The sequence below is a fragment of the Homo sapiens genome, chromosome 2 (genome assembly GCF_000001405.40).
Source record: "Homo sapiens chromosome 2, GRCh38.p14 Primary Assembly".
Classification (NCBI taxonomy): Eukaryota; Metazoa; Chordata; class Mammalia; order Primates; family Hominidae; genus Homo; species Homo sapiens.
Genome location: NC_000002.12, coordinates 53,838,491 through 53,860,635, shown reverse-complemented (window position 1 = coordinate 53,860,635; position 22,145 = coordinate 53,838,491). Strand labels below are relative to the sequence as shown.

At 42.8% G+C, this 22,145-nt stretch overlaps 2 protein-coding genes, 1 non-coding gene and 1 pseudogene across 3 annotated transcripts in view; all 4 read left to right on the top strand.

Annotated features, from left to right (window-relative positions):
- Positions 1 to 668: 668 nt before the first annotated feature.
- Positions 669 to 7,724, top strand: GPR75 (G protein-coupled receptor 75). The gene is made up of 2 exons (NM_006794.4): positions 669 to 808; positions 5,771 to 7,724. Exon 2 carries the CDS (start codon positions 5,880 to 5,882, stop codon positions 7,500 to 7,502), a length of 1,623 nt encoding a protein of 540 aa, NP_006785.1. The 5' UTR covers positions 669 to 808; positions 5,771 to 5,879; the 3' UTR covers positions 7,503 to 7,724.
- The window catches only part of GPR75-ASB3 (GPR75-ASB3 readthrough), a 189,675-nt gene continuing 168,198 nt past the window's right edge, over positions 669 to 22,145 (top strand). Inside the window, exon 1 of the mRNA NM_001164165.2 lies at positions 669 to 808. Within this exon, the coding sequence (NP_001157637.1) occupies positions 708 to 808 (101 nt within the window). The 5' untranslated portion in view covers positions 669 to 707. The remainder of the gene's footprint in view (positions 809 to 22,145) is intronic.
- MIR3682 (microRNA 3682) lies at positions 11,431 to 11,514 on the top strand. Its single transcript, NR_037453.1, has one exon. It is a non-coding gene; the product is annotated as a microRNA 3682 (primary transcript).
- LOC124906183 (uncharacterized) lies at positions 20,807 to 20,903 on the top strand (annotated as a pseudogene).

Sequence of the window (22,145 nt, the reverse complement as noted above, 5' to 3'; positions counted from 1 at the left end):
ACATCAATATCCATGATTCCTGGGCTTGGTCGTTTTATTTGCATGGGTAGTTTCTTTATGCTTTGCATGTTTCCTGCCAATTAGTCCCCTTGCTGAGTTCCCTCAGTGAATTCACTAATACCTTAAGAGAGCTTAGGTAAGTTCAAATAGGTTTAATTTAAATTCTATTACAATGACTTGATTTGTAAATTCTAGGTCTCAAAGTTCCAAACTGGAAGCCGCCGCCAATTTAATTCATGAGGAAAAATATTAGCCGCAGCCTAAGTGAGGAGCTAGTTAGGACGTCTTAAAAGCGCGGGGAACGAGGAGGAGGTGGGCTGCGGGCAGGGTAAGCAGCCTAGGGAGGCCCGCAAAGACCTCCCTGGGTCCCTGCGTGCCATCAGTACCCCTATCTTTCCCTTCCTTCCTTACCACTCCACCTTGCTCTGCGTTTCAGGTTTTGGCTATTTCAGGGAGCTTGAGTTCCCCAAACAGCAAAACTGCGAGCCTGAAAAACCTGGCTCAAGCGCCCCTCGTGAGGCGGGCAGCGGGAGTGGCCGGGCTCTGGGCCCCAGGAGGCAGGCGACGGAGGCGCGGAGGGTGCGGGGCGCAGGCGGGACGCCAGGCCCGGGTGTCCGGCGGAGGGGGCGGTGCCCTCGGCGTCTCCGTGACTGCGCCTCTGCGCCCGCGTCTTGCCGCGGCTCCCGGGATGCGCGGAGGCGGTGGCGATGGCGATGATGCCTCTAGTCCTGCATCATCCAGAGCGGCAGGCGGAGCTGGGGTCCGGACTGCGAGATGGAGGAGGGGCGGCGCTGCGGCCACCCGGCAGGTGAGAGGCCGCGGGCCCCTGGAGGAGGACAACCCCACGATGCCGGAGACGGCTCCCGGAGGCTGGCGGGATAGCGAGGAGCGCGGCTGCGCTGGGCCAGGCCCGGCTCCGCGTACCTGTCTTCCTGGTGCGGCCTGCAGGGTAGCCTTCTCGCCCGTCCCTGCCGGTTCCCAGGCTCTGCTCGGCCGTGGAACCCCCCCCACCCACCCACCCACCGCCCCTACCCTGGCTGAGCCCTCCTAACCCACCACCCCTCTGCGGCATTCTTTTGCAAGCTTACCTGGCCCGGCCTAGGCCCTCCTTACCGTCACCTCACCCTTCTCCGGGAAGCCCCTACCCACCGCCAGCCCCTCACGGGGGGGTCGACCTTCCCTGCCCGCAGTTTCCCACTCTGTCCTCAGGCTGGGGGCTCCCTGGCCTCTTCATCCCTCCCATCAAATGACTCAGGTCTTCCCATCCCATTAGCTGCTCCGGGTTCAATGTAGTTCTACTGGATAGAAAGAGCAAGGGCTTTGAAATCAGATAATGACCTTGGGGAAGTTATCTAACCTCCCTGAGGTTTTCCTGATCGATAGAAATACAATGGGAATCACAATAATACAGAACCTTGCTCTCTGTGAGGATTAGGCTTTGAAAATGCTAACCTAAGACATTTTGGGGCGCGCGGGGAATGGGGTTGGAAGAATTCAGGTCGTGAGTTGATTTATGAAAGCCCCTATAGCATGTTTTAATGTTCACTAAAAATTTAAAACAGCACACTAGATATATCAGAGGCTGTTCACATATCTTAATGAAAAATCATTGCCACTCAAATTATACAATAAATTTTCATCCATATTCTTTGCTTGCTAGTTACTTCAGGATGTCTCATTTGTAAGAATATGCATGTGAATTCATTCTTACTGCAGCTAATATGCATGCTTAAGACTGGTGTTCCAGCTTAAAATCTTTCTGATTTTGTGACTTTAATCACATCTTCTATAACCTATTCTCCGTCCCAGAGATGAAGAGTAGCTTGTATGTTTGCATTGCAAATAACATGGGTAATCTTTATTGAATATTTATGAGTAGCAAAGCAGTATTAATTTATTCCCCTTCCAAAACCACTTTTATTTTCTGCCGTCATCATGTCATTCCAAATTATGGTCACAGCCTCCTTTTTCTTAAAGTCTCAGGAGTTACTACTAAGACCTGAGTTTACTTTCCCTCCATTTTCTTGATTTCTGTTATACTAAAGTTTTTCTGCAAACCTTTTCGTCTTTTCTGTCCTCTGCTTTTTCTCCCTTTTCTCTTCCCAGCCCATGATTCCTTTTTTTCTAATTATCTCAATAGGAGTGATTTATGATTACTTTATATGTGAACTACAGTTAGATACATAGAAGAATGTGTGTGTGTGTGTGTGTGTGTGTGTGTGTGTGTGTGTGTCTATCTGTATCTACATAGATGTAGATATAGCTATATAGGTGTATCAGAATTTCGGATTCCAGAAAGTTTCAGTGGGGAAGGGATTGCAATACCTATTCATAGGATTATTGTGAGAATGAAATAAAGCTTGATAATTTATGTAAAGCCTCTAGAATAGGTGCCTGGTGTGTAATAACCACTTAATACTTCTGACCTGGGGATGCCTCCCAAAAAGGTTTTTTTGTTGTTCGGGTTAGCATGGTGGTGAAGAGTGTGGAAGAGCAACTGCTTAGATTCAAATCCATGTTCCACCACTTTAGATAACCTCTCTTTGACTTGGTTTCCTCATCTGCAAAATGGAGATGTTATATCAAGTATTTCAGGGTTGTTATGAGGACTCAATAAGCTAATAGTGTGGAACATTGAGAAAAGTACCTGGCACATCATAAGCACTTGATAAAATTAATATACTAATAATGATGCTGATAATTATACTGCCATTGTTATTTCCTGACCTGGAATTCTTATTTTTTTTAATTTACTGAAGGCTGGGTACAGTGGCTCACACCTGTAATCTCAGCACTTTGGGAGGCCAAAGCAGGCAGATTGCTTGAGCCCAGAAGTTGGAGACCAGTGAGGGCAACATAGTGAGACTCCATCTCTATTAAAAATATATATATTGAAAAATTTAAAATTTGTTGAAAAAATGTAACTGTACAAAACGTGAAAGTTGCCTCTCCTCTACCCCAAATCACCTTTTTTCCTCCTGCCTCCTATTCTTGACTAATGTTAGTGCTTCATCATCTCATTTTTCTCCTAATCCCTTTTTCCAAATATCTCTTAGCCTGAGGTCTTCATAACTTCCATCATCCCGCTTCATTATTACCTAGTTACTTTTCATTTGTCTTAGCATCCTAATTCCAGACTCCTCATTCTTCTAATTTCCCCAGGCCAAATTCCTGCATCCCTCTTCACCCCTCTTCATCTCTCTACCTCCAAAGAGGAAACCCTTGGAGATAAGGGGGTTAGAGACACCAGTATCACCTCCCTGCTCTTCCTGCCTCCTCAAATTGTTTTCTCTTCTACTTCCCTTTTCATAAATTAGCTGTAATACTCCTGTTAGCAACTTTTAAAAACAGTAAAAAATTGTCTTTCTCGGCCGGGCGCGGTGGCTCACGCCTGTAATCCCAGCACTTTGGGAGGCCGAGGCGGGTGGATCATGAGGTCAGGAGATCGAGACCATCCTGGCTAACAAGGTGAAACCCCGTCTCTACTAAAAATACAAAAAAAAAATTAGCCGGGCACGGTGGCGGGCGCCTGTAGTCCCAGCTACTCGGGAGGCTGAGGCAGGAGAATGGCGTGAACCCGGGAAGCGGAGCTTGCAGTGAGCCGAGATTGCGCCACTGCAGTCCGCAGTCCCGCCTGGGCGACAGAGCGAGACTCCGTCTCAAAAAAAAAAAAAAAAAAAAAAAAAAAATTGTCTTTCTCATTATATAGGTATCAAAAGTGTTCAGAAACAAATATACAGCCTTTAAGTGGAAATAGAGCTATCTGGTACTATTTTTAAAAAATTCTAACCATCAAGAAACAAAAGTTCAGGATTTTCTTCTCTTATGGAACTTTTATTTGAAAGGAAAGTATAGAAAAGTTGGTCTCACTTTCCAGTGGACAAATTCACCATATCGTCCTGATCTGTACCATATGAATGTTAAGAATATAGATTAAGTTATCTTTTTCCTTGATTAAGGACACCAGTCAATTATATGGATTTCCCAGGACTGGTATATGTCTGATAGTCACTGGCATGGCTGTATCTGTTGTTAAATGTGGAGAGACTTCTGTATTGGGTAGTCCATAGCTGCTAATTGGAGCCCCAGGTAATCCCTGACTGACCTGGTTCATTCCGCTGTACCCCCTTGATCTGGCAACTAAAGGGTTAACAGCTGGAGGCTTCTGGGATCCAGCTTGAGCTGGTGGTTAAGTACACTGAACATCAGCCCTGGACCTCTGCAGTGCCACTTATTGTTCCTAAAATTCTAGATTAAGGCAAACCCTTTTTGGTTGTCAAGAACATAGTGCTGTCTCCAAGGAACAGCTTAGTCGGTCCCACCAGAAGCATCTGTTGGGAGCAGGTTGGGCACCAACCCTTGCAGGACTTTGGGATTTGGGACAATGTAGATTTGTGTGAGTGCACATTAAGTCTCATTGCAAAATAGAAAAAAAAAAGTTAGGAAAAAGGAGCAAGAAGTTATTCTTTTAAAGTAGAGACTGCCTTACTCATCGTAGCACCTAGCACCTGGCGTAATGCTGGCATATGGTATGCACATAATTAATATAAATTGAGCGAACGAATGCAGGAATGGGTGCATGCCTCCTGCTTCACCATCAGGATATTCTTGTTGGGATAATGGTAACTCACATTTATATAGCAGTTTAGACTTTACAATGTGGTGCTTTGCACCTTGTAAATTTCTAATATAATTCCAACATCCTTGGTTACTTCCAGTTTTCCGTCTCACATGTAGTCCTACACAAGGTTTTTTTCCAAAGGAGAATATGTAGTTAATTGGCCAAGAAATTGCAAGCTGGGGGAAAAATTATAAATACTGGGAAATAAAGGATTCTTCATAGGGAACGAAACAGGGTTTGTTAATGATTTATGGGAATTATGTGAAGGGCCACATTATGCATCAACAATACCCTCCAGCCTATATTTCAAGCACATGCAGTTTTTTGCCGCAGTGCTTCTGCTGCAAAGACCTACCCCCACTTCTCTTAGCCTGTCTGTCCCCACTCCATACCCCCGACCTTTCATCCAGCTGGCCTGTGCTTGCTAAAGCTCCCTTTATCCTTTCCCAGCTCCCTTTCCATGTTGGAGTAGGTTCCCCCCTTCCATGCTCTCATAGCACCCTGCAACCTTATTAGGCTGTAATTATTACATAGTTAGATTGATCTCCAACTAGATTGTCATCTCTTTGGTGGAGAGATTACGTTCTTGTGTATCTTCAGTGCCTGACACAGAAGTGTTTCTAAAAGTAACATCTGCACACCCCTCAAACAGAATCACAAGGGGCGAGGCCAAGAAATCTGCTCTCCAAGTGATAACTTAAACTTTTTAACATGCTCTTCAGGTGACACTTAAACTTGTTTGAAAACCTCTGTGTCATAAAACTAAATATTAGCTGGATGAATGTATTTGTATCTTTTTCTGTGTTGGCCTTTGTGAGGAGAAATGCTGTCTATGCACCAAATCAGAGCTGAAAAATTCTAGTGTTTTGTTAAAAAAAAAAAAGAGAGAGAGAGAGCTGGGTTTGGTGGTGCATGCCTGTAGTCCCAGCTACTTGGGAAGCTAAGCCAGGAGGACTGCTTGAGCACAGGAGTTCAAGTCCAGCCTGGGCAACATGGTAAGACCCCATTGCTAATAAATGAATAAATTTTTCTCTCAAGGTGAGAGATACTAGTACTAATACTACTACTAATAATGAGATCACTGTATGAATTCCTTTCTGTTTCTACATTAATCCCTTTCTGTTTCTGGGTGTGCATTTTTGTGTGTAGGCTTATCTGTCTTGGGCCTCTTTTGTCACATATTGCTCATCTGTGAGCTGAGGCCCTGACTCACTGAGTATTTTTGGGGAGCAGAAGAAGGAGACATTTCTCTCCGAAAATGAACTCAACAGGCCACCTTCAGGATGCCCCCAATGCCACCTCGCTCCATGTGCCTCACTCACAGGAAGGAAACAGCACCTCTCTCCAGGAGGGTCTTCAGGATCTCATCCACACAGCCACCTTGGTGACCTGTACTTTTCTACTGGCGGTCATCTTCTGCCTGGGTTCCTATGGCAACTTCATTGTCTTCTTGTCCTTCTTCGATCCAGCCTTCAGGAAATTCAGAACCAACTTTGATTTCATGATCCTGAACCTGTCCTTCTGTGACCTCTTCATTTGTGGAGTGACAGCCCCCATGTTCACCTTTGTGTTATTCTTCAGCTCAGCCAGTAGTATCCCGGATGCTTTCTGCTTCACTTTCCATCTCACCAGTTCAGGCTTCATCATCATGTCTCTGAAGACAGTGGCAGTGATCGCCCTGCACCGGCTCCGGATGGTGTTGGGGAAACAGCCTAATCGCACGGCCTCCTTTCCCTGCACCGTACTCCTCACCCTGCTTCTCTGGGCCACCAGTTTCACCCTTGCCACCTTGGCTACCTTGAAAACCAGCAAGTCCCACCTCTGTCTTCCCATGTCCAGTCTGATTGCTGGAAAAGGGAAAGCCATTTTGTCTCTCTATGTGGTCGACTTCACCTTCTGTGTTGCTGTGGTCTCTGTCTCTTACATCATGATTGCTCAGACCCTGCGGAAGAACGCTCAAGTCAGAAAGTGCCCCCCTGTAATCACAGTCGATGCTTCCAGACCACAGCCTTTCATGGGGGTCCCTGTGCAGGGAGGTGGAGATCCCATCCAGTGTGCCATGCCGGCTCTGTATAGGAACCAGAATTACAACAAACTGCAGCACGTTCAGACCCGTGGATATACCAAGAGTCCCAACCAACTGGTCACCCCTGCAGCAAGCCGACTCCAGCTCGTATCAGCCATCAACCTCTCCACTGCCAAGGATTCCAAAGCCGTGGTCACCTGTGTGATCATTGTGCTGTCAGTCCTGGTGTGCTGTCTTCCACTGGGGATTTCCTTGGTACAGGTGGTTCTCTCCAGCAATGGGAGCTTCATTCTTTACCAGTTTGAATTGTTTGGATTTACTCTTATATTTTTCAAGTCAGGATTAAACCCTTTTATATATTCTCGGAACAGTGCAGGGCTGAGAAGGAAAGTGCTCTGGTGCCTCCAATACATAGGCCTGGGTTTTTTCTGCTGCAAACAAAAGACTCGACTTCGAGCCATGGGAAAAGGGAACCTCGAAGTCAACAGAAACAAATCCTCCCATCATGAAACAAACTCTGCCTACATGTTATCTCCAAAGCCACAGAAGAAATTTGTGGACCAGGCTTGTGGCCCAAGTCATTCAAAAGAAAGTATGGTGAGTCCCAAGATCTCTGCTGGACATCAACACTGTGGTCAGAGCAGCTCGACCCCCATCAACACTCGGATTGAACCTTACTACAGCATCTATAACAGCAGCCCTTCCCAGGAGGAGAGCAGCCCATGTAACTTACAGCCAGTAAACTCTTTTGGATTTGCCAATTCATATATTGCCATGCATTATCACACCACTAATGACTTAGTGCAGGAATATGACAGCACTTCAGCCAAGCAGATTCCAGTCCCCTCCGTTTAAAGTCATGGAGGCTATAGGATCTTATGTAAACAGTTTTTGTTTCTGATAGTAATGGACTTTATTCTAACTTGAGATCAGTGGCGGATCAAAACCTACAAGATTCAACTGAAAAGTTGGCAGTTATGGTTTTCTTTCATCTGATGTGTCAGTATCTGTTGATTTGCTTTGTAGTTTGTTGACATCTTAAGATTTGATGTGAAAGTTTTAGATTTTTTACCCTGCTCTTTGCCTCAGTCTTTTGTACCGAGCCTTTAAATAGATGCCAGGAATGAAGCTACTGTGTTAAAGTAGAAAGTCAACCGATTATCATGATTTGAGTCAGTGTTATGTGACTTCAAAATAAGGTATTGACTGGATTTTTTTTAAAGAATGTGAAAATATGATTTTTGCTGAGGTGTTATTTTTATTAATTGAATTGTAAATTTTGATTTTTTGAAGTGTTGAAATCGGGAACACTACACCTTGTTGGTAGCAGGTTGATTTGAATAAATAATATATTGTTAGCTGGGTGCAGTGGCATGCACCTGTAGTCCTAGCTACTTGGGAGGCTGAGGCAGGAGGATCACTTGAGCCCGGGATTATGAGTCCAGCCTGGGCAACACAGCAAGACCCTGTCTCTAAAGGAAATGTATATATTCTTTTTTTTTTTTTTTTTTTTTTTTTTTTTTTGAGACGGAGTTTCACTCTTGTTGCCCAGGCTGGAGTGCAATGGCATGACCTCGGCTCACCGCAACCTCCACCTCCCGGGTTCAAGTGATTCTCCTGTCTCAGCCTCCCAAGTAGCTGGGATTACAGGCGCATGCCACCATGCCCGGCTAATTTTTGTATTTTTATTAGAGACAGGGTTTCTCTGTGTTGGTCAGGCTGGTCTTCAACTCCTGACCTTAGGTGATCCGCCTGCCTCGGCCTCCCAAAGTGCTGGGATTACAGGCATGAGCCACTGTGCTTAGCCAGAAATATATATATTCTTAAGGCAGAAAAGGTGATAACTCTGTCTTTACCAAAAACACTCACACAGGTATTAGGTACTTTTCTTTCATAGGACAGTCAACTAAGAATATAGTATTATGATTATTGCCATTTCTTATTATAGACATGTTTTATGTCAGTTGAGTAGGTTTACAATTCTTTTGAAAAGAAATATATTTGGGCCGGGCATGGTGGCTCACACCTGTAATCCCAGCACTTTGGGAGGCTGAGGCGGGTGGATCACCTGAGGGTCAGGAGTTCGAGACCAGCCTGGCCAACATGATGAAACCCCGTCTCTACTAAAAACACAAAAATTAGCAAGGCATGGTGGCAAGCACCTGTAATCCCAGCTACTCGGGAGGTTGAGGCAAGAGAATCGCTTGAACCTGGGAGACAGGTTGCAGTGAGCTGAGATCGTGCCATTGCACTCCAGCCTGGGTGACAAGAGCGAGATGTCATCTCAAAAAAATGAAAAAAAGAGAAAGAAAGAAAGAAAAGAAATATATTTTTGCTTGTTAAAAGTGAATTATTTATTTATTTATTTTTTTCCTGAGAGGGAGTCTTGCTCTGTTGCCCAGGCTGGAGTGCAGTGGCATGATCTCTGCTCACTGCAACCTGCGCCTCCCGGGCTCAAGTGATTCTCCTGCCTCAGCCTCCTGAGTAGCTGGGATTACAGGCGTGTGCCACCATGCCCAGCTCATTTTTGTATTTTTTAGTAGAGACAGGTCTTGAACTTGTCTTGAACTCCTGACCTCAGGTGATCTGCCTGCCTCGGCCTCCCGAAGTGCTGGGATTACAGGCATGAGCCACCCCAACTGGCCCAAAAGTGAATTGTTTCTGAATGATCTTATTCAAGAAGCCTAGTGAAGAGGACTGCATCTATGGTAGAGGTGCACTGTTCCCAGGAGAGAAGGCACTGCGGTAATCATCTCGGTGTTCTGTGGAAAACAGTGTGGACTCCTGTCATGCATTGGGCAATATTTATTATTGCTTAACAAGGTTTACAGATAAGACTGGGAATGTTTTGATTTATGTTTTCCTTCTGTGTGAGAAGAGTTTACTAACCACCTGACAGTATTCAAGTAACTATTTAGAAATGACTTCTTTTTTGTCTTTATTTATTATTATGGTAGAAAAATTCTCAAGATAATCTATTTTCAAACTAATCATTTTATTTCTCTCCCATTAATCTTAAAGTGGAAATGGGCAGAAAGAAAAAATAGATTTAAGTATTTCTATACCTGAAACTAATTTTACTATATGCTCTGAGATTCCTAGCATAACAACTGTGAACTCATATTTTATTGTAAAAATATTTTCAGTATACAGTTAGTATTTGAACTCACTAGGTTTTTAAATGTTAGACACACAAGATGAGCATCAATATACAACACCTATCTTTATAAATTGTTATATTCAAGAGTTATTATTGCAGATTGGAAGGTACTTTGTTCCTTTGCGTAAAAGTCTTTTTTTTTTTTTGTAGAAACAGAGTCTTACTCTGTCACCCAGGCTAAAGTGCAGTGGCATGATCTCAGATCGCTGCAACCTCCGCTTCCCGGGTTCAAGCGATTGTCTTGCCTCAGCCTCCAGAGTAGCTGGGATTACAGGTGCCCGCCACCACTCCTGGCTAATTTTTGTATTTTTGGTAGAGACAGGGTTTCACCATGATAGCCAGGCTGGTCTTGAATTCCTGGCCTCAAGTAATCCACCCACCTCGGCCTCCCAAAGTGCTAGGATTACAGGCATGAGAAACCACATCCAGCTGAAAGGCATTTAATTTATAGTTTCCTCCCTCAGCTCTCCCCAAATACAGGGGTCATGAGAGGTATAGAGAAGACAGAATAGATATTCAATTAGAACTCTGCTCAACCTTATCTTATAACTGTTACCTTTCAGTATTGATCAGTTATTTCTATTTTTGAGATTTAAATAGGCATAGATTTTCTTTTGTTTTCTTTTTCTTCTAAATTTTTTTCTTGCCACACCCAGGGGCAGCCTCGAATTATTTTGTTTTTAAGTTCACCTTTTAGACTGATTTGCCTACCTACTCCCTCCTTCTTTCCCTTTCTCCCTCCCTCCTTCCCTTTTTCCCTTTTCTTTTTTTTAAGATGGAGTCTCATGCTTGTTGCCCAGGATGGAGTGCGGTGGCACAATCTCGGCTCACTGCAACCTCCGCCTCCCAGGTTCAAGCGATTCTCCTGTGTCAGCCTCCCGAGTAGCTGGGACTACAGGCACGCACCACCACTCCCAGCTAATTTTTGTATTTTTAATAGAGACAAGGTTTCACCAAGTTAGCCAGGCTGGTCTCAAACTTCTGACCTTGTGATCCACCCACCTCGGCCTACCTAAGTACTGGGATTACAGGCGTGAGCCAGTGCACTGGCCTATTATCTCTTTTTAACAAAGAATTAAGAAATCTAATATTCTTTCCCAAGATCGTACAAAGAATTGTGGCAAATTAGGAATTAGATTTTTGTCTTAATTCAAAACCTGGTATTTACCCCAGTGTGCCAAACAGCTTTATAATGAAGACAACATTAATCAAGCATCACATTTTTAAAGGCATATATCTATTTTTTTGGCTATGCAAAAAACCTTGTCTCTATTAAAAATACAAAAATTGGCTAGGCATTTCAAATGTGATACAATAAAATATTAACACAAAAGTAATTTCTATTTATAAAATTTAAAATGGCAGGTTTTCTGTGTGACGTTTGAGTTTGAGATGATTTGACTGGCATGAGGCCCATCATTGGGAGGTAAAAATTACAGCACAAAGAAAACTAAGCAGGTGCATATGAGGTATTGTCTCTTTATGCTCATCAAAAAATAATCTCCAAAAGAAAAGTTAAAAAAATTATTGTTATAAATTGCATGAAATACATAGTGGGCTCGATTCATAGCCCCCGTCCGTATCTATATCTCTATATCTATAGAGACATAACTTCTTTCTTCGTAAGTTATATATGTCTACTTCTACCTGTGTTATCATAATAAAGGTGTCATGATGATACAGGTGGAGGTAGAAATATATAACTTATCTCTTCATAAGGGCTAAAATGAGAACTAAAAGTAATGAGAATTCAGTTGAATATGATTAATTATCAGGATATGTTAATTAGTTCTCTTGATGCTTACTGTGATGCAAAGTATGTGACGTATTTTAAACATTTTATAATAATTGTTCGTATGTTAACCATTAGGCAAGATTTGTATTTCTAATGCTTTTAATGTTCTTTTAAAATAATGTTTGGAAAATAAAAATACTGAAAATCCTAACATTTCTGAACACCAGTTTGCAATATAATGAATTTCCTGTCTGATCATTTTAAAACTATCAGAGCATGGCAATGATCATTTTTGCCCAATGGATAACAATGTGTTGAACCACAGACAGAGAGCTCTTTGCCTTAAGAGATGAAATAACTTGTTTGACTATATATAAATTTTTTTTTTTTTTTGTAGAGACGGGGTCTCCCTATGTTGCCCAGGTTGGTCTCCAACTCATGGGCTCAAGCGATCCTCCCGCCTCAGCCTTCCAAAGTGCTGGGAATAGAGGCGTTACATTTTGTATCATATATGCTCAGACTAATCAAGGATAGTTAATGCCAAAGACTATTTACAAAACTAAGTTTCTTACTCAGTGAAAAGAGGCTAAATGAACATTTGAGCAACTCATTTAAATGAAATTTAGCTGGAAAAAGAAAAATTTTGAATTTTTGGTTTATCGATCAGGGTCTGGATTTAAGAATCAAAAAACATTAACATAAGCAGGAAAGCATTTAATATAGGAAACTAGATGTCTACAGAATGGTTAGATAGGGCTCTATGATGAGTCTCCAGGAAAGATTGCACCATAAACATGACCAGCCGGACCAGCCATAAATGCTACTACTTCTGCTCCAACCAAGAAGAGAGGAAGTCAGGAAGCCTACCTTGGACTTTTGACTTCAAGAACACACTGTTAAAGTTGTTGTCCACCAGTGAGGAAGTTGCTGCCACTACTATTTCCACAAAAAACTCTCTTGACACCTACAAAGCAAGTGGCTGAACAACAAGACACTGCTATAGAAAAAATCTGGCACCATGCAGTTAGATGGAGAAACTAAGTTTGCATCTAGAACCCTAGCTTCAGGGAAATCTGGAAAGTGTACTAACACAAAAGTATACTCAAAGGAGATGCAGAGTTCTAATCTGTTCTGTCCACAGAGGTTCACCTTGGTAGTCAACATTTGTTTTTTTTTTTGAGATGGGTTCTCACTCTGTTGCCCAAGCTGGAGTGTAGTGGTGCAATCTCGGCTCACTGCAACCTCCACCTCCTGGGTTCAAGCGATTTTCCTGCCTCAGCCTCCTGAGTAGCTGGGATTACAGGCATGCGCCAACACGCCCAGCTAATTTTTGTAGCAGAGACGGGGTTTCACCATGTTGGCCAGGCTGGTCTTGAACTCCTGACCTCAGGTGATCCACCCACCTCACCCTCCCAAAGTGCTGTGATTATAGGCGTGAGCCACTGCATCCGGCCAGTAGTCAACATTTTTTATACATACCTCTAGCCATACTCCCAAACAACAGCAGTAGCTATACCACCATTCTCCCTCTTGAAATAATGCAGCTTCTCTCATTTAAACAAAAATATGTACTTTGCTAGGCGCTGCATAGCAATCTCAGCACTTTGGGAGGCTGAAGTGGGAGGATCGCTTGAGCCCAGGAGTTTGAGACCCACCTGGGCAACGTGACAAAACCCCGTTTCTACAGAAAAGTTACTTGGGCATGGTGGCAGGTACCTGTAGTCCCAGCTACTGGGGAGGCTGAGGTGGGAAGATCGCCTGAGTGAGTCCAGGAGGCCTAGGCTGCAGTGAGCCAAGATCACACCAGTGCAATCCAGCCTGCAGTGAGATCCTGTCACAAAACAAAACAAAATAAAAAATGCATACTCTCCTCCAGAGGGAAGATGCTAAGTCTGATCAATCTCTGGGTTTCTCAGTGATGTTCATTATTCTTCTAGTTCAGTCAAAAATCTCAACGTGATATTCTGTAACCTAAGGACCAAATTATAAAATTTACCACCAACAAACAAATTTAATCATCAAGAGTAAAAAGAAGAAATTGGTTGAAAATGTTTCATAGACACACACACACACACACCAGGATAAAGAATAAATGGGGATTAGTACAGACTTTGCTTGCTTCCGTTGGTCAAGAAGCTGTGATTGGTATTTTATAATGTCCTCCACTTCCCATTTCCTATCCCTTTGCCATTAGCTAGCATGTCATGTAGTCTGAGAAAGTAAGTTTTATCAAATAGCAGAGGGAATGAAATACTAAGAAAACAAAATTTATAAAACATAATGTAGGATTACAGAAATAACTGGATAAATGGAAATGCTTAATATCATATATAAAAGAATTTATATATATGCTTAATATCATATATAATATCATATATAAAAGACAATTCGAATTAAAAAACAACATGAAGGCCAGGCGCGGTGGCTTGCGCCTGTAATCCCAGCACTTTGGGAGGCCGAGGTGAGCGGATCATTTGAGGTCAGGAGTTCAAGGCAAGTCTGGCCAACATGGTGAAACCCCATCTCTACCACAAATAAAAAAATTATCTGGGCATGGTGGCAGGTGCCTGTAATCCCAGCTACTCAGGAAGCTGAAGCAGAAGAATTGCTTGAACCAGGGAGGCGGAGGTTGCAGTGAGCTGAGATCACGCCACTGCCCTCCAGCCTGGGTGACAGAGCGAGACTCCGTCTCAAAAAAAATAAAAAATAAATAAAAACAACATGAAAATATATGCAACATTTGCTGCTTGGAATAGAGAAACACAAACTGAGAGTAAAAATTAAGATACAGGCAAAAGTAGACAAGCCTTCATGAACAAAAAATGATGGTGACAGTATTAATATCAAAGTAGAACTGAAAGCAAAACCACATTCTAGAAGATAACTAATATTGATAAGAGGAACAACCAAATAATAAAGCAATACGTTTCATTCATTCAGCAGATATTTGTTGAATACTGTGTACCAGCTTGAGATACATTGGTGAACACAACAATGAAGTTTCTACCCCCATAACACATTATACTGAAGATAATAAATACGTAATTTTCAAGCACAGGATCCCACAGTAATCCATGGGGAATATGTTCCAAGACCCCCAGTGGATATCTGAAACCCGGGATAGTGCCAAACCCGATATATTCCATGCTTTTTCCTTTACACACATACCTGTGATAAAGCCTAATTTATAAGGCACGGTAAGAGATTAACAATAATGAATATTGTAATAAAAGTTATGTGAATGTGGTCTCTCTCAAAATATGCCACAGGAAGCTGAAACCAAGGATAAGGGGGGACTATGGCAGTGATACATTGAATGAAGATGATAAAATAGTAAAAGCAGAGAAAGTATGGGGGGTGGTGGGGATGTGATTTTGACACAGGGAGACTAGAGATAGTCTTTCTTAGGAGATATTTGAGCAGCATCTTGAATGAAGTCTTAGGGATTGAGCCAGGAAAATAGTTGGGACAAGAGCTTTCCAGGCTCCAGGAGTAGCCACTAAAGGCCCAAAATAGGCATGTGTTTGGCATGTTTAAGAAAATTGGAGGTGGGGCGCAGTGGCTCATACCTGTAATCCCAGGACTTTGGGAGGCCAAGGCGGGCAGATCACTTGAGGTCAGGAGTTTAAGACCAGCCTGGCCAACATGGCGAAACCCCATCTCTACTGAAAATACACAAATTAGCCAGGCATTGTGGCGTACGCTTGTAGTCCCAGCTCCTTGGGAGGCTGAGGCAGGAGAGTCGCTTGAACCCAGGAGGTGAAGATGGCAGTGAGCCAAGATCATGCCACTGCACTCCAGCCTGGGCGACAGGGTGAGACTGTCTCAACAAAAATAAATAAATAAATTGGCAGAAAGAATGGCAGGAAATGAGGTAGCCAGGAACCAGATCATATAGGCTTTTTGTAGGACTTGACAAGTGTTTTAGATTTTTATTCCACATATAATGGAAAATCATTGCAAGATTGAGAGCAGAGGCTTAATAAAACCAGATTTGTCAAAAACAACAAAGTGCACAAAGCAAAATCTGTTAGAATACAAGAAGAAATGGACAGAAACATGAACAAAGTAGGAGATTTTAATACTTCACTAAGTCTAGGATGGACCAAGAAGACAAGAATGGTAAGAACATAGAACAGTTTACAAATATATAATTAGAAAATAGAATTAATATTGAGGTGTACACACATAATTTTATATACCTCACAGCAAATAAGCTTTCTTTTACATGTTAGCAGAAATAAACAACTGATTAATAGACCAAAAGAAAACGCTCAATGAAATAGAAATGCTGAGTCCCAGTGTCATAAACTAACAGTGCTACACACAATTTAAGTTCTATTTAGCTCCATTCAACTTTTGTTATTTTTGCCATTTTTAATTCTCATCTGTTTTTATTTTGAACCTGACGACATTACAGTTATAATGTGGTCAATTTTTTTTTTTTTGAGACAGAGTCTCTCACTCTGGAGTGCAGTGGCATGATCTCTGCTCACTGCAACGTCCACCTCCACCTCCCCGAATTAAGCAATCCTCCCACCTCAGGCTCCTGAGTAGCTGGAACTAGCAGCACAGGCCACCATGTCCAGCAAATTTTTGTTGTTTTTGTTTTTGTTTTTGTAGAGGCAAGGTTTCACCATGTTGCCCAGGGCTCAATTCCTGGGCTCAAGTGGTCCTCCCACCTCAGCCTCCCAAAGTGCTGAGATTATATGTGTGAGCCATCACACTTGGCCTATTCATTGATATTTACCATATATTATCACATTACTTAAAATTTTTTTTTTTTTAGACAGGTCACTCTGTCGCCCAGGTTGGAGTGCTGTGGCACGATGATGGCTCACTGCAGCCTCATCCTCCTGGGCTGAAGCGATTTTCCTGCCTCAGCCTCCCAAGTAGCTGGGACTATAGGCATGCCCCACCATGCCTTGGCTAATTTTTTTTTTTTTTTTTTTTTTTTTTTTTTTTTTGTAGAGATGGGGTCTCCCTGTGTTGCCCAGGTTTGTCTCAAACTCCTGGTCTCAAGCAATCCCATCTTGGCCTCACAAATGCAGAGATTACAGCCATGAGCCATCATGCTCGGCCCTTAAAATTTTTAAATAAATTTTTAATTAATTGTTTTGATTCAGCAGATAAGTTTTACATACTCCTTAGTGGATTCTGACTTCTGACTTCCACGACCCCCATCTAGCTTATTTATCTCCCTCTCTTCCTTCCTTCCTTCCTTCCTTCCTTCCTTCCTCTCTTTCTCTCTTTCTTCTTTTCAAAGAGATAAGGTCTTGCTCTGTCACCAGACTGGGGTGCTGTGGCACAATCTTGGCTCACTGCAGCCTCCACCTCCTGGGCTCAAGTGATCCTCCCTCCTGAGTAGCAGGGACTACAGGAGTATACCACCATGCTTGGCTAATCTTTGTAGAGACATAGTTTCTCTATGTTGCCCAGGCTGATCTCGAACTCCTAGGCTCAAGCAGTCCTCCCACCTCAGCCTCCCAAAATGCTGGCATTATAGGCATTAGCCAAAGTGCCTGACTTATCATATTTCTTCCTCACTATTCCTTCTTGCGTCTCAGACCTTTCATTTGATTCTATTTCCTTCTGCCTTAATGTATCATTTAGAATTTCCTTTAATGTTTCTTTTCTGTTAGTGAATGATCTCTGTTTGTTTTCTGGAAACATTTTTATTTTGCCATCATTCTTTATTTTTTATTTTTTTTGAGACAGGGTCTTGCTCTGGCATCCTGGAGTGCAGGGGTGCAATCACAGCTCACTGCAGCCTCAACCTCCCATTGCCTTCATTCTTACAAGAATTTTTTTCTGAGTAAAGACTTTGTATTTTATCTTTTAGTGTAGTAGTGTATTCCCTGCTTCTTGGTTAGTGCTTTGTAAAAAACAAAACAAAACAAAACAAAAAAGGAAAGTATTATTCCTTTGTCTTCTGACTTCCACTGTTGCTATTAAAAACTCAGCTGTTTGGCTGGGCACGGTGGCTCATGCCTGTAATCCCAGCACTTTGGGAAGCCAAGGCAGGTGAATCATCTGAGGTCAGGTGTTTGAGACTAGCCTTGCCAACATGGAGAAACCCCGTCTCTTCTAAAAATAAAAAAAATTAGCCAGGCATGGTGACGAGTGCCTGTAATCCCAGCTACTTAGGAGGCTGAGGCAGGAGAATTGCTTGAACCCAGGAGGCAGAGGTTGCAGTGAGCCAAGATCGCGCCACTGCACCCCAGCCTGGGTGATAGAGTAAGACTCCGTCTCAAAAAAAAAAAAAAAAATTAGCTGTTTGCACGCTGCTTATTTGAATATATTCTCCCTACTCCATTCCATATCCCACCTCCTGGCTGCTTTTATTATATTTATGTCTTTGGTGTTCTGCAGTTTTAATAGATGTGTATTTTTAAATTTATCTTGGGATTTGTTGGACTTCTCAAATTTATGGCTTGGTGTCTTTCATCAGCTGTGGACAATTCTCAGCCATTAATCTCTTCAAATATTGCATCTGTCCCATTCTCTCTACCCTCTCCTTAACGTGGCTTTCATTTTTTTCATCTCTTGCTTTTTTTTTTTTTTTTTTTTTTTTGATGGAGTCTCACTCTGTTGCCCAGGCTGGAGTGCAGTGGCGCTATTTCAACTCACTGCAAGCTCCGCCTCCGGGGTTCACGCCATTCTCCTGCCTCAGCCTCCCGAGTAGCTGTGTCTACAGGCGCCTGCCACCACGCCCGGCTAATTTTTTGTATTTTTAGTAGAGACGGGGATTCACCGTGTTAGCCAGGATGGTCTTGATCTCCTGACTTTGTGATCCACCTGCCTTGGCCTCCCAAAGTGCTGGGATTACAGGCGTGAGCCACCGTGCCCAGCACGTCTCTTGCTTTCTTTGTTGTAGTTTGAATAACTTCGTCCACCCTATCTTCTAGTTCATTAATTCTCTCTTCTTCTGAATCTATTCTGTTAAAATTGATTATCAAATTATCAACTTTAATTATGATTACTGTATTTTTCATTTTGAGAAATTTTCTAATGTTAAAAAAAAACCTGTTGGCCAGGTGCAGTGGCTCACACCTATAATTCCAACACTTTGGGAAGCCAAGGCTGACTAACATGGTGAAACCCCATCTTTACTAAAAATGCTACATTAGCCAAGCATGGTGGCGCATGCCTGTAATCCCAGCTACTTGGAACGCTGAGGCAGAAGAATCACTTGATCTTGGGAGGCGGAGGTTGCAGTAAGCCAGGATTGCGCCACTGCACTCCAGACTGGGCAACAGAGTGAGACTCTGTCTCAAAAAAAAAAGAAAAAGAAGAAACACCTGTTAGCTTACATTTTTAGAGTTTCCAGTTTCTACATATAATTAAAAGTGCATCGCTGGGCGCAGTGGCTCATGCCTATAATCCCAGCACTTTGGGAGGCTGAGGCGGGTGGGTCACCTGATGTCAGGAGTTTGACACCAGCCTGACCAACATGGAGAGAAACCCCATCTCTACTAAAAATACAAAATTAGCCGGGCATGGTGCCGAATGCCTGTAATCCCAGCTACTCGGGAGGCTGAGGCAGGAGAAATCACTTGAACCCCAGAGGCGGAGGTTGCAGTGAGCCGAGATTGCGCCATTGCACTCCAGCCTGGGTAAAAGGAGCAAAGCTCCATCTCAAAAAAAAAAAAAAAAAGAAAAGAAAAGAAAAAAATGGATCATTTATTTCTCAGTGTAAGGATAGTTTTCTAAAATGACTGATAATCCTATTATAATATTTGATTTTCAAAAAATAGGTCTTTTGTCAATTATTTTTGCTGATACTCCTTCATTGTGCCTTGTTTCCTTCACTCTGTATTTACTTTTACTGTGAGTTGCTAATTTTCCTTGAAATTTTTTGGTGAAAATTTTCACCCTGGTTGATAGCACTGCCTTAGGTGAAGGTACATTCCTCCAGAAAGAACTTGCATTTGCTTCTTCTAGGTGCCTAAATGTATTACCAGTTCAGGACCACTTTAAGCTGAACTTGAAGTTTTTTTGAACTACTTAGGTGATGTGGGTATATAGGTTACAATCTATAAGGCACTAAGTTTGCAATTATAACCTCGAAGAGATAATTTTTTCCGTTTCTCTGTTTATATCAAGGACAACTTTTCTTGAGGTTCCCTGGACATGAGGTAGAGTGGAGTGGGATGGATTTATTTCTTCTTTACCATTACCTTGAGGATGTAGCACTTTAGAGTCTTAGTTTTAAGGAAAGTGGGTTTCCTTTTAAGAAGCTTCAGTCATCTAAACTGAAGCACAATTTCTCTAAGGTTGGCAAATGCCTTCAGGGCAAAGGTGTCTATCGTCCTTCACTTACCTCTTAGAGTCCTCTCCTCTCCTCTCCTCTCCTCTCCTCTCCTCTCCTCTCCTCTCCTCTCCTCTCCTCTCCTCCCCTCCCCTCCCCCTCCCCTCCCCCTCCCCTCCCCTCCCCCCTCCACTCCCCTCCCCTCCCCTCCCCCCTCCACTCCCTCCCCTCCCCCTCCCCTCCCCTCCCCCCTCCCCTCTCCCCTCCCCTCCCCTCCTCCCTCCCCTCCCCTCCCCTCTTCTCTCTCCTTTCCTTTCTCCTTCTCCTTTTCTTTCCTTTTTCCTTTCTTCTCCTTTCCTTTCTTCCCCTTTCTTTTCCTTTCCTTTCCTTTCTTCCCCCTCCCCTCCCCTTCCCTCCCCTCCCCTCCCCTCCCCTTCCCTTTCCTTCCTTTCCCCTTTCCCTTTTGTTTGAGACAGAGTCTCACTCTGTCACCCAGGCTGGAGTGCAGTGGTGTGATCCTGGCTCAAGTGATCCTCCCACCTCGGCCTCTCAAGTAGTTGTTACCACAGATGTGCGCCACCATGGCCAGCTAATTTTTCATATGTTTTGTAGAGACGGGGTTTCACCATGTTGCCCAGGCTTATATTTTTGTCTTGTAATTTTTCACTCTTTTATCAGCTCTTTGATGTTTTTAAGACGTTTTATGTATTGGAGTATATTGTGAAGTTGAAATATTTATTGTTAACCAAATGAGAGCATTGTTATTATCATCAACATCTCACCCAAACGGCTCAATTTAATAATAATAATATCATCTACATTGTGAACACTTCTTGCTTATGTTTCCAAACCTACTCTATGTATGTGCCCATGTATATGTAGAGAAACCCAACAAAATAATGCAAGGTATAAAGTAAATGCTATAGGCTGCTACTGGAGTGCAAAGCAGGGAACAGTTTATTCAGAGTGAGAAAAAGGTAAGGCTTGATTAAGAAGATAAGGGAGATGGGGAGATCCTTTTGTAGTTCGTAAGTGTGATGATTGGGTTTGCACACGCATGTTTGAGATGTGCCTCCCTCAAACCTGTATTAGTCCATTTTCACACAGCTATAAAGAACTACCTGGATAATTTATGAAGACAAGTGGTTTAATTGACTCACAGTTCTGCAGGCTTAACAGGAGAATGACTGGGAGGCCTCAGGAAGCTTACCATCATGGCAGAAGGGGAAGGGGAAGAAGCACCTTCTTCACGTGGTGGCAGGAGAGAGAGAGACAGGAAGCAAGGAGGGAAGTGCCACACACTTTTAAACCATCAGATCTCACAAGAACTCACTCATTATCACGAGAACAGAATGGGGAAATTGCCCCCATAATCCAATCACCTCCCACCGGGTTCCTCCGCCAACACTGGGAATTATGATTCAACATGAGATTTCGGTGGGGACACAGAGCCAAACCGCATCAAACCTTGTTACAACGTGGGCACATTACCCATCTGACATGAATAAATAAGTAATAAAAATTAAGAGGGGGAAAAGGGAATTGATGGATGGAACACACACAAAATGCCTGCACAGCATTGAGGTTAAGAATGACAGCCCACAGACTGCATTTCCGGAGTTTGAATGTTAGCTTGGGTGACTCTGGACAAATTTAACTGCTATAAGTTTCAGATTCTTATACATAAAATTGAAATAATAATTGTATCTTATATAATCTCTTTGCAATTTACTGAAGAAATACTTCTCACCACAAAACCTAAGTAAGTGAAGTGATGGATATATTAATTAGCCTGATTAATCATTCCATATTTTGTATGTATATCAAAACATCCCACTGTACCCAATAAGTGTATACAATTATGATTTGCCCTTCAAAAATAATTTAAACAGAAATGCTTCTCTCTCGAGCTCACTAAAATGTCCCCCCTTTTTTTTTTTTTTTGAGACGGAGTTTTGCTTTGTCATCCAGGCTGGACTCCAGTGGCACCATCATTGCTCACTGCAACCTCTGCCTCCCAGGTTCAAGCGATTCTCTTGCCTCAGCCTCCCAAGTAGCTAGGATTACAGGTGTGTACCACCACACCTGGCTAATTTTGTATTTTTACTAGGGACGGGGTTTCGCCATGTTGGCCAGGCTGGTCTCGAACACCTGACCGCAAGTGATCTGCCCACCTCAGCTTTCCAAAGTGCTGGGATTACAGGTGAGCCACTGTGCCCTGCCAATTATTTCTTTTCTTAAGTTATTGTTTGTTTTTTGATGAGGCATAGAAGTGCAATAATTTATGTAAATCAATTTTATATCTAGCCACTTGACTAAACTCTCTTATTTTTAATAATTTATCTAACACAT

Excerpts from the sequence above, each read along its gene's own strand:
- GPR75 (NM_006794.4), top strand. The coding sequence starts at position 5,880 with ATGAACTCAACAGGCCACCTTCAGGATGCCCCCAATGCCACCTCGCTC.